The sequence below is a fragment of the Homo sapiens genome, chromosome 9 (assembly GCF_000001405.40).
Source record: "Homo sapiens chromosome 9, GRCh38.p14 Primary Assembly".
NCBI classification, from domain to species: Eukaryota; Metazoa; Chordata; class Mammalia; order Primates; family Hominidae; genus Homo; species Homo sapiens.
In genome coordinates, this window is record NC_000009.12 from 122,446,713 (window position 1) to 122,459,879 (window position 13,167).

The 13,167-nt window shown below is 40.4% G+C and overlaps 1 protein-coding gene across 3 annotated transcripts in view; it reads left to right on the forward strand.

The window, feature by feature from the left end:
- Positions 1 to 720: 720 nt before the first annotated feature.
- The window catches only part of OR1J2 (olfactory receptor family 1 subfamily J member 2), a 132,995-nt gene continuing 120,548 nt past the window's right edge, over positions 721 to 13,167 (forward strand). For all 3 annotated transcript variants that reach the window (XR_007061274.1, XR_007061272.1, XR_007061273.1), the window contains exons 1-2: positions 721 to 833; positions 2,218 to 2,338. The gene's annotated coding sequence lies outside the window, so the exon portion shown is untranslated. The remainder of the gene's footprint in view (positions 834 to 2,217; positions 2,339 to 13,167) is intronic.

The window sequence follows — 13,167 nt, forward strand, 5'->3', positions numbered from 1 at the left end:
TTTGGATTCTCGGGATATTGACAATGTCGGGGGCTCTTTAAGTGCTGAATTTTCAGCATGTAGTAAGAATAGTTTTACATGATTTATCTATTGGGGAAACTCTAAGAATTGTTCCAGTTTTAGTTGCAATAGTGGCCCTCCAGCTCCTTCCAGTTACTGGCCTCTGACAGAGCAGGAGTACTGTTATCTTGGACAAACAGCTCCACTTTAAGTTCCAGCTCCCTTTCTAACCTCATGCATTTCAAGGAAATCACTTATCTTCTAACAATAAGCAGCCAGAAAGAGCAGACGGTAAAACACAGATAAGACAGCTTGGGCACAGAGAGAGGGGGAAAGTCTCTTGGGTAACCACCAAACTTCACACTCACAATGGGCCCCAGTAAAACAGTGGGTCCTAATAAGTACATTCCTTTCCCTTTAGGTGCACGAAGATAGGGAAGCTAAAAGCAGACTCAGGGGGTATGCCTGCAGCTGCAGGAAGATGTGTGGGAACAGACACAAAAACCCTCCCTCCCAGATAAGCAAGACAGACAAACATTCCAAGCCCGTGATAAGCTCTTCTGCCTTGAACCCTTAAAACCTCTCAGTCTGTAAGAGAGAATGCCTCTGACCTAACTTGGCCAGAAGCCCCTCTCAGGTTTATTCTCCAAAATAAACCTCTCTTTGACTGTTGAGCCACTTTTTGTGTTTCTTTCTTCTTTCTTTAATTCTTGTAGCCTCTGTTACTGGGCATGGAGTCATCTGTCTTCTATGGAGCACCTCTGTCTTTTGGTCAAAGAGGGAAAATGAAATCCTGGCCCTATGGATACTGGGAAGCATACTCAAGTATCTCTGTACGTATCAAATGAGACAAGGGCTTGTTCAGGAGAGACACTAGACTTTCTGTTAATCTATACTTTGGGATTCCTGGAAGTTGCATTCTGAGATGCTCCAGATTCACATGAAAAAAAAAACAAGCCAAGTGCTTGACTGGCTGGGTTTCTTTCCTCCGCTCCTCCTTCCTTTCCTTATTTGCTCTCTCCTTTCCTTTCTTCCTTCCTTCTCTTTCTTTTCTTTTTCTGTCTCATCCTGTTCTAAAAACAATAGGGTTGTTTAGAAGGATACATACAACAGACAAGATAAAATAAATTAAAAATAGTCGAGGCTGAGTGCTGTGGCTCACATCTGTAATCTCAGCACTTTGGAAGACCAAGGCGGGAGGATTGGTTGAGCCCGATGAAGGGAGCCAGCCCCTGCACACCTGTGGGTATTTCTTGTCAGGTGGGATGAGAGACTGAGAAAAGAAATAAGACACAGAGACAAAGTATAGAGAAAGAACAGTGGGCCTAGGGAACTGGCACTCAGCCTGCGGAGGACTTGCACTGGCACCGGTCTCTGAGTTCCCTCAGTATTTATTGATTACTATTTTCACTATCTCAGCAAGGGGAATGCGGCAGGAGAACAGGGTGATAGTGGGGAGAAGGTCACCAAGAAAACATATGTGCAAAGGAATCTGTGTCACAAATAAATTCAAGGGAAGGTACTATGCGTGGATATACACGTAGGCCAGATTTATGCTTTTCTCCACCTAAACATCTTAGTGGAGTAAAGAGTAACAGAGCAGTATTGCTGCCAGCACGTCTTGCCTCCCACCATAGGGCAGTTTTTCTCCTACCTCAGAATAGAACAAATGTACAATCGGGTTTTATACTGAGACATTCAGTTCCCAGGGGCAGGCAGGAGACGGAGGCCTTCCTCTTATCTCAACTGCAAGAGGCCTTCCTCTTTTACTAATCCTCCTCATCACAGACCCTTCACGGGCGTCAGGCTGGGGGATGGTTAGGTCTTTCCCATCCCAAGAGGCCATATCCAGGCTATCTCAGTAGGGAGAAACCTTGGACAATACCTGGCTTTCCTGGGCAGAGGTCCCTGCGGCTTTCTGCAGTGCATTGTGCTCCTGGTTACTCGAGAATGGAGAATGGTGATGACTTTTACCCAGCATACTGCCTGTAAACATACTGTTAACAAGGCACATCCTGCACAGCCCTAGATCCCTTAAACCTTGATTCCATACAACACATGTTTCTGTGAGCTCAAAGTTGGGGCAAAGTTACAGATTAACAGCATCTCAAGGCAAAACAATTTTTCAGGGTACAAGTCAAAATGGAGTTTCTTATGTCTTCCTTTCTACATAGACACAGTAACAGTCTGACCTCTCTTTCTTTTCCATACACCCAGGAGTTTGAGACCAGCTTGGGCAACAGAGCAAGACGCCGTGTCTACAAAAAAAAAAAAAAAAAACAAGCGATAATAAGTAAAAAAAAAAAGTAGGGTAAGAACAAGATGACGTTTCTGCAAGGTGAGTATACAAAATCAGTGGGAAGGCGGGGTCTTATGTAGGGATTGATGAGACACAACAGGCTTCACCCAGCACCACAATTTATATAGCTTTACAGTAGTACAAATGATGGGCACCACACTATGCACTGCAACAGCACCGTGGAGGCCTTGCTTATCCTCTGCTCATCTTCCTGTATCTACAATCATTTCACACTGGAATATGAATGGTCACAGAGACAGCCAGACTATCTCAGCTTGGGCATTGCACCAGATCTGGGGCTTGTTTGGCTTTTACATCTTGATGGTCATGTAGCCCTCTCTGAGATGTATTTCTTTATTTTAGTTTATTTTTTTCTGAGACAGAGTCTCGCTCTGTCGCCCAGGCTGGAGTGCAGTGGTGCGATCTCGGCTTACTGCAAGCTCTGCCTCCTGGGTTCACGCCATTCTCCTGCCTCAGCCTCCCGAGTAGCTGGGACTACAGGTGCCCACCACCATGCCCAGCTAATTTTTTGTATTTTTAGTAGAGACAGGTTTTCGCCATGTTAGCCAGGATGGTCTCGATCTCCTGACCTCGTGATCCTTCCGCCTCGGCCTTCCAAAGTGCTGGGATTACAGGCATGAGCCACCGCGCCCGGCCTATGAGATGTATTTCTATCTATCATTTTTCTGTGCAGCTGCCTCTTGTCAATTACTAGCAATTGCTGGTTATCCAGTTACTAGTTAACAAATCAACAAAGAGGTGCAGCATGCTGGTTCACTATATAGCCGGATCCTAGTTTATCATAGATCGGGTATGCTGTACATTCTTTGAATTACTGTTGCGTGAAATAAAACTGAGAGTCAAGTCCTCAGGTTTTCTTGAGGCTGAAAAAAAGATTATACTCCATCTGTTAATCTTTCCTCCCAGTTTACCTCTGACTTTTGTCAATACTTCTTTGCCATATGTTCCTTGGGCATTTAAAAGATAATTATATATATTAATTGACAAATAATAATTGTATATATTTATGTGGTACAATGTGATGTTTTGATCTATGTATACATTGTAGAAAGGTTAAATCAAGCTAATTACCATATCTAACATTTCATCTACTTATCATTTAAAAAATAATTCTTGGCCGTGCATGGTGGCTCATGCCTGTAATTCTCAGCAATTTGGGAGGCTGAGATGGGCAGATCACTTGACACCAGGAGTTTGAGACCAGCCTAGGCAACGTGGCGAAACTCCGTCTCTACTAAAAATACAAAAATTAGCTGCGCTTGGTGGTGCACACCTGTAGTCCCAGCTACTAGGGCGGCTGAGGCACGCAAATCACTTGAACCTGGAAGGTGGAGGTTGCAGTGAGCCAAGATTGCACTTCTGCACTCCAGCCTGGGTGACAGAGCAAGACACTGTCTCAAAAAAAAATCTTTAAAAAGTTTTATTTAATTGTAATTGACAAATAATAAACATATATATTTGTGAGGGTATAATGTGATGTTTCTACACACGTACACATTATGTAATGATCAAGTCAAGCTAATTATCATATAATCACCTCAAATGCTTATCATTTCTTTGTGGTGAGAACATCTAAAATCTACTCTTTCAGCCATTTTGAAATCTGTAATACGTTGGTGTTCACTATAGTCATCATACTGTGCAACAAATCCCGGAACCAGTCCTCCTGTTGAACGGAAACTATGTACCCTTTAAGCAGTGTTTTGCTTTTCCCTGTCCATTCCCCCATCCCCCTCCTCTGCTAACCACTGTTCTACTCTTTACTTCTATGAATTTGACTGTTTTAGATTTCACATATAAGTGAGATCATGTGGTATCTGCTTTTCTGTGCCTGGCTTATTTCACTTAATATAATGTCTCCTAGATTCACCCATGTTGTCACAAATGACAAAATCACCTAGTTTAGAAAGTGATCCTTAATGTAGTAACTTCTATAACATTTTATGCACAAAAATACATTTTAAAACTCTGCAACCATGAGGACCATATTATTCAATGAGCAGTTGGAATTCTTTCCCAAGAATCACATTGAGCCATGAGTATATTTACTTAAAAATTTCTGATATATCTTTTTTAGTTGGACTATCTTCTCTCTTCCCTTTTTCTCCACTATCACCTGCATTATTATTATTATTATTATTATTATTATTATTATTATTATTATTATTTTGAGATGGAGTTTCGCTCTTGTTACCCAGGCTGGAGTGCAATGGCGCGATCTCAGCTCACTGCAACCTACACCACCCGGGTTCAAGTGATTCTCCTGCCTCGGCCTCGTGAGTAGCTGGGATTACAGGCATGCGCCACCAAGCCCAGCTAATTTTGTATTTTTAGTAGAGATGGGGTTTCTCCATGTTGGTCAGGCTGGTCTCCAATTCCCAACCTCAGGTGATCCTCCAGCCTTGGCCTCCCAAAGTGCTGGGATTACAGGCGTGAGCCACCATGCCTGGCCTCACCTGCATTTTTACAGGCTTCAACAGAGGTGTTGAGCTGCATATGTCACTTTTTAAAAGCTAAATTTACTTCTTTCTTTGGCCAATAGATCTCCATGAGTATTGCATCAACTGGAAGTTTTAGTTTGACTTCTCAAAATACCTTTTTATTCTGGCAACCATTTTCATTTATTTTTTATAAAGTAGCCTACAAATTCTTTATTACCTGTAGCAGAAAGATTAGACAATGTTCAGGACATTAATATAATCATGTCAATTTCCTAGCCTTCTCAGCAAAAATACCATTTTCTCATACACATTTCCCATAACTGGTGTAATTACTGGAGGTCATTGCTCAGTAAAGTCCAGGTTCCCTCTGGTCTGGGGGCATAATTACACTTCACCCACCAAGGAGTAATTTTTTTTTTCTTTGAGACGGAGTCTCGCTCTGTCGCCCAGGCTGGAGTGCAGTAGTGCGGTGTTGGCTCACTGCAAGCTCCGCCTCCCGGGTTCACGCCATTCTCCTGCCTCAGCCTCCCGAGTAACTGGGACTACAGGTGCCTGCCACCACGCCCGGCTAATTTTTTGTATTTTTAGTAGAGACAGGGTTTCACCGTGTTGGCCAGGATGGTCTTGATTTCCTGACCTTGTGATCCACCTGCCTCAGCCTCCCAAGGTGCTGGGATTACAGGTGTGAGTCACCGCGCCCAGCCCAAGGAATAAGTATTAGAGTAACTCAGGTTCCAGGTATCACTGTGGAGCACTGCCCATCTGTCCACAATTGGTAGAGTTTGAGCCGGTTAAGGATCAACTTTGGGTCATCCAAGGTAATACCAATTGTATCACAGAGTCAAAACTCCTTTCAACTTTTTGACACTGTTGCTCTGAGGGAGTAGCAGTAAATGGCATGCTTACCAGTCATCTTGCCATATGCCATAGGTTAGGTTGGCCATAGTGTTCCCATAAACATACCTCCTCTTGCTTGAGCCTGCAGCACAACTGCTATTTAAATATATCAGGTGCTGTTGCTGTTGACATGGCAATTATTCCTTCCCTGGTGAGCATATGGATTCTTGTCCGGAGTTATTGACAAGCAAGATGCTGAGCGAGTTGGGTAACATGCATAGTCCATTCAAATACTGTGATATGGTTTGGATATTTGTCCTGCTCAAATCTCATGCTGAAATGAAATCCCATGGGGATTGGAGGTGGGGCCTGATGGGAGGTGTTTGGGTCATGGGGGTGTGTTCTCCTGAATTTGGTTGTTTAAAAATTGTATGGTGGCTGGACACAGTGGCTCACGCCTGTAATCTCAGCACTTTGGGAGGCCGAAGCTGGCGGATCACCTGAGGTCAGGAGTTCAAGACCAGCCTGACCAACATGGTGAAACCCCATCTCTACTAAAAATACAAAATTAGCTGGGTGTGGTGGCGCATGCCTGTAATCCCAGCTACTCAGGAGGCTGAGCCAGGAGAATTGCTTGAACCCGGGAGGCAGAGGTTGCAGTGAGCCGAGATCACGCCATTGCACTCCAGACTGGGCAACAAGAGCAAAGCTTCGTCTCAAAAAAAAAAAAAAAAAAAAAAATGGGTGTGGCACCTGCCCGTATCCCCGCCTTGCTCCTGCCCTTTTCATGTGACCTGCCTGCTCCAGCTTTGCCTTCCACTATGAGTAAAACTCCCCGAGGCCTCCCTGGAAGCTGAGCAGATGCTGGTGTCATGCTTGTGCAGTGTGCAGAACCATGAGCCAATTAAACCTCTTTTCTTTATAAATTACCCAGTCTCAGGTATTCCTTTACAGCCATGCAAGAATGGCCTAGCACATTGCTTCATCATATTTCTGGGCCAAATGCAAGTTCAGTGAGTTTCCTGGGAGAGAACTCCCCCTAGTGACCATTTAGACCACAAGCATGAGTCTCCAGAAAAGTCATTTCCACTTGCCATGCTTAACCAAGTTCCCAACCTCCTAAGTCCCTCTTAGTACTCTGGACCAATGCTGGGTCTGTGATCACAAGTGTTGCAGCCATGAGTACTTGTGATACAAGACTAATTCAAGTACACTACATGCATCTAAAAAGTACTGTGTCCCTCAAGAGATTGTAGGGTTATCATACTCAGTTCCCAGGGGCTGTTCAGTTCAAGTATCCCAAAGGCTTCCCATAATCATCGTATTGGAAATTCCAGGGTGAGATCATCATTGGTATGTGACAACCAGGTCATGTCAATATTCACCTCTCAGACATCATTGTGATTTTTTGAATGCCTGCCTGTATTGTTTTCCAAACACATTACCATATGCTGTAGTTAAAAGGGCAAACTAGACTCCAATATGCTAGGCAGACAACTGCAATGATGTCTCCCTCATACCCAGGTATTTGCTTTAACAATGGAGTGTCATCTTGGGTTACAACAACATGATGCAGAGCTGTTAGCTGACAGTCACAGTATGTTCAGTGAGGTTCAAAGGCAGGAATCCTCTTAGTGCTACAGTGAATCAGCATGATACACATAAGAACAAAATGTGACTAAAACAGTAATCCCAACCTACTGTTGCTTAGGCAGGTCATCAAAGAACTCTGAGGTCTTCTCTCCAAATCTCGTACATAAGGTCTCAGGTAATTGTTGCCATGTGGCTTCGGTCCAATCCTCCTTATCAAGGGGAAATAAATCTTGGGGTATTTCCTTGTATGGGCTATGATCAGCACCACATATGAGAGAAACAGCTAAGAATATTGTTCTCCTGCTCCTGAGATAAAAATGACAACTCCCAGTGGCCGGGTGCAGTGGCTCACGCCTGTAATCCCAGCACTTTGGGAGGCCGAGGTGGGTGGATCATTTGAGGCCAGGAGTTTGAGACCAGCCTGGCAATATAGTGAAACCCTGTCTCTACTAAAAATACAAAAAATTAGTCAGGTGCGGTGGCATCTGTCTGTAGTCCCAGCTACTCAGGAAGCTGAGATATGAGAATTGCTTGAACCTTCTAGGCTGAGGTTGCAGCGAGCTGAGATCATGCCACTGCACTCCAGCCTGGGTGACAGAGTGAGACTCGATCTAAAAAAAAAAAAGTCACCTTCCTTTCCAGGTATTATTTCCCATTTTATGATCTCTTTCCATTTATTACCTGTCTTGATCCAGACTGGGCTTCTCTGGGTAGACATCTCTGGTTCAGCTATCCTGCCCTCTACAGGCATGTAGCAGATTAAGCTTTCCAGAACTGCTTCTTGTGTCCATTACCAGGTAGAAGGCATAGGGCTAGAAAGGCAAACGAAGATGGGAATGTCTCACAGGGGAGGGACGCATCACCTATGGTCAGCCGTCATGAGATGAAGTCACTATCCATCTCATTATTTGTTTAGGAATATGCACAGTCAAGTTATTTATTTGTTTATCTTTAACTTTAGGTTTCTTTTTAAATAAAACAAATTTGCCTCCAGCAAACACTAAACTGCTTCTGCCTCTATAAAGTTGTCAGTTTTGGATATTTTATACAAATGAAACACAAAAAAAGGCAAGCCTTTTATGTCCGGCTTCTTTCACTTTACATAATGTTTTCAAGGTTCATTCATGTTTAGCCTGTACTAGTACTTCATTCCTATTTATGGCTGAGTAATATTTCATTATATGAAGATGCCACATTTTGTTTATACATGCATCCATTGATGAACATTTGTGTTGTTTCCACTTTTTGGCTATTGTTAGTAGTGCTGGTACGAACATTTGGATGCAAGTTTTTGTTTGAATACCTATTTTCAATTGTTTTAGGTATACATCTAGGGGTAGAGTTGCTAGGTCATCTTGTATCTTTGTTTAACTGATTGAGGAATAAACTATTGTCCACACTGTCCATACCATTTTACATTCCCAATAACAGTGTATGAGTGTTTTAATTTCTTTGAACTATTTGTTTATCATTTTGTTGATAGCCATGATAAGGGGTATGAAGTGATATTTTATTGTCATTGTGTCTTGCATTTCCATAATGACAAATGACACTGAGCATCTTCTATGTGCTTGTTGGCCATTTACATATTTTCTTTGGAGGGATGCCTATTCATGTTCTTTACCCATTAAAACATTTTTTCCCTTCGTCTTTTGTTGTTGAGTTATAAGAGCTCTTTATATATTCTGGATAAGATATCGATATCCTTATCAGACATATGGTTTACAAATATTTTCTTCCATTTTGTGAATTGTGTTTTCACTCTCACAATATTGTCTTTTGATATAAAAAAGATTTTAATTTTGATAACGTTCACTTTATTTTTTTCTTTTGTGGCTTGTGTTTTTGGTGTCATGTCTATGAAACTTGGACAAATTCAAGGTGATAAAGATTTATTCATTTTTTTGTAAAAATTTTATACTTTTAGCTCTTATATTTAGGTTTTTAGTTTATTTTGAGTTTTGTATATCCTATGAAGTAAGGGCTCAACTTTATTACTTTCTATGTGTCTATCCAATCACCCCAGAACCATTTGTTGAAGAGACTATTCTTTCTCCATTGAATGGTCTTAGCACCCAGGTTAAAAATCAATTGACCATACATATATGAGTTTATTTCTGAACTCTCAATTCCATTCAGTTGATCTAGTTATTTATCCTTATGCTAGTAGCACACATTTTTTTATGACGGCAGTTTTGTAGTATATTTTGAAGTCAGGAAGTATAAATCCTCCAAATTTGTTCTTATTTTTCAATATTGTTTTGACTAGGGAGGAAGAGTCTGGGGATGGAGATGAATGGGGAATAATGGCTGTAATAAGCTCTTGCATATAACAAAGCTCTAGAGGGCTATGTGCGCGCTCAGGAATAAACACGTGCCTAGAAAGATTGGAAGAGATCCTATGCTTTTAGCTCTGGCTAATCTCTAGGATCCATGTAAGCAGTAAGTGAAGGGATAAGGCAGAGCTGTAAATTACCTAGCTAACTATGGAAGGAGTGCCCTAACACAGAGACAATCTGCCAAGACAGGGGAACAGTTTTTCTCTTTTTCTTATTTTATCTTATCTTATTCTTTAATTTTCTTTTCTTTTCTTTTTGGATCCAGGAAGCTAGGAGAATCATGGTTAAATCACTAGCTGACCATTAAGCTAACAGAACCTTTAGGGAACACACACACGAAAGAATACAGTCTTTATAAAAGTAGTTTAGAAAAGTCACTAATCCAACATCAGTGATCATTAGAGAAATGCAAATCAAAACCACAATGAGATACCATCTCATGCCAGTCAGAATGGTGATTATTAAAAAGTCAAGAAACAACAGATGCTGATGAGGCTGTGGAGAAATAGGAACACTTTACATTGTTGCTGGGAATGTAAATTAGTTCAACCATTGTGGAAGACAGTGTGGCAATTCCTCAAAGACCTAGAACCAGAAATATCATTTGGATCAGCAATCCCATTACTGGATGTATAACCAAAGGAATATAAATTGTTCTGTTATAAAGATACATGCGTGTGTATGTTCATTGCAGCACTACTCACAATAGCAAAGACATGTAATCAACCCAAATGCTCATCAGTGATAGACTCAATAACAAAAATGTGGTAAGTATACACCATGAAATACTATGCAGCCATAAAAAGGAATGAGATCATGTCCTTTGCAGGGACATGGGTGGAGCTGGAAGCCAATCTTCAGCAAACTAACACAGGAACAGAAAACCAAATACCGCATGTTCTTACTTATAAGTGGGAGCTGAACAAAGAGAATACATGGACACAGGGAGGGAATAACACACACTGGGGCCTCTCAGGGCAGGGGCAGGGGAAGGGAGAGCATCAAGATAAACAGCTAACGTACATGAGGCTTAATACCTAGGTGATGGGCTGATTGATAGGTGCAACAAACCACCATGGCACACGTTTGCCTATGTAACAAACCTGCACATGTATCCTGGAACTTAAAATAAGACAAAATTAAAAAAAGAAAAATCACTAATCAAAGAAACTACTACTACCGACAATGAGCAGCAACAATAAACCCTGGAAATGGAGGAGAATTTGATTTCTAGAGTTAGCACATTATAATATGAAAAATATTCAGTTTTAAATAAAAATTACGAGGTGTGCAAAAAAAAAAAGTTCTCAAACAAGAAACTATGGCCCATTCATGGGAAAAAAATCAACAGGAATTGTCCTGAAAGAAGCCCAGATATTGGACTTACTAGTGAAAGATTTTAAATCAACTTTAAAAAATATGGGCAAAGAACTAAGGAAATCATGGACAAAGAACTAGAGGAAACTATGAGAACAATGCATTACCAAACAGAATATTAATAAAGGGATGGGAATTAGAAAAAAACACCAAATAGAAATTTTATATTATAGGTAAATGGTACATTTTTTGTTTGCGACTTATTAGTCTAATGCAACTTCTAACATCTACCCCTTTAAAAAGAATTGTAAAACCACAAAATACTCTATCTCTATTAAACCCTTTCCTGTAATTTTTGTTGTTTTCATACATTTTTAATTTTTCTTATACTTAAGACTGTACAATAGATAACCATAATTGTGCAGTCAGCATTCATTTTTTGCTGTGTTTAATATTTTTGTTTTTCTTCATATTTTTTTAGATCTTGTTTCTGCTGGGACATTTTCCCCTTTGTCTGATGAAATTTCTTTAATATTTGTTTTAGGATAGGTGTGTTGAATAAATGTCTTCATTTGTCTTTATTTGGAAGGATATTTTCAGTGCTTTTAGTGTCCACAATTTGTAGTTACAGTTTTTATTCTCTTAAAATGTTATTCCCTTGTCTTTTGGATTCATGTTGAAACGTGTCAGTTGTCAGGAATGAATGTTTGAAAGGAATTTGTTTTTCTTTTAACTACTTTAATGATTTTTCTTTGTCTTTGGTTTTTACTAGTTGAATTGTGGTGTGCTAAAGTCTAGTTTTCTGTATATTTATTTTGATGGGTTCAAAAAGTTTTTTATGGGGTGTATTAATTCTCACAGTGCTAATAAGACATACCTAAGACTGGGTAATTTATAAAGAAAAAAAGGTTTAATTGACTCACAGTTCCACATAGCTGGGGAGGCTTCACAATCGTGGTGGAAGGCAAAGGAGAAGCCAAGGCACGTTGTACGTGGCAGCAGGCAAGAGAGCATGTGCAGGGGAATTGCCCTTTATAAAACCATCGTATCTCGTGAGACTTATTCACTATCACGAGAACAGCATGGGAAAGACTCCCCACCCCAATTCTGTTACCTCCCACTGGGTCCCACCCATGACATGTAGGAATTATGGGAGCTACAATTCAAAATGAGATTTGGGTGGGTACACAGCCAAACCATATCATGGGGGGTGTTGCTTTTGTCAGTTTTTGGAAAACTGTCAGCCATTGTCTCATGAAATATTACTCCTAAACTGCTTTTTTTTTTCTTTTCTCTTTCTGAACTTCAATTACATATATTTTTTGTCTTTTGAATATGTTCCAACATTTCATATGCTCTTTTTCTCATTTTTCATTCTTATTTCTAACCATGCTTTAATTTATCTGTCTCTTTTCATCCTCCCTACCCTTTGCACTATTCTACTCTACCTCCATGAGGTCAAATTTTCAAACTTCTCCATATGAGTGAGAACATGCAATATTTGTCTTTCTGTGCCTGGATTATTTCACTTAACACAATATCCTCCAGGCTCATTCATGTTGCTGCAAATGACAGAATTTCATTCTTTTTTATGGCTAAATGATGTTCCAAATTTTCTTTATCCATTTGTCTGTTGATGGACACTTAGATTGATTCCATATTTTGGCTACTGTGAGTGGTGCTGCAATAAACATGGGAGGATAGACATCTTTTTGTCATCCTGATTTCTTTTATTTTGGATAGATACCTAGCAATAAGATTGCTAGATCATATGACATTTCAGTTTTTAGTTTTTTGAGGAATTTACATATGTTTCTACAACAAGGTTTATTACTAGACATTCTATAGAATTGCAATAATTCCGATAAGATGCTCTTGAAAGGACACTTGCCCAGTAATGGCATATTCACCAATGAACCAGTGATGACTCTAGCTTTGATCCTCTGAAACCAGTGAACTCTGTTTCTAAGCAGCTTAGATGAATCTTTCCCTTTTTAACCAATAAAAGCTTCCCTTTATGCTTCCCTCTTTGGATGCACCAGTTCATGCACCGCTGGTTGTAATCCTCATTTCTCATTTCTGAATGAACTCAATGTAGTTGGACATTTCTTTAATGTCAGAGAGATGTCAGTACTCTTTAAAAAAATTTCAATAAGTTTTTGGGGGAATTGGTGGTGTTTTGTTACATGAATATTTTCTTTAATGGTGATTTCTGAGATTTTGATGCATCTATTACCTGAACAGTGTACATTGTAGTCAATGTGTGGTCTTTGCTCCCTTCCACCCCTCCCACCCTTTCCCTTGAGTCTCCAAAGTCTAT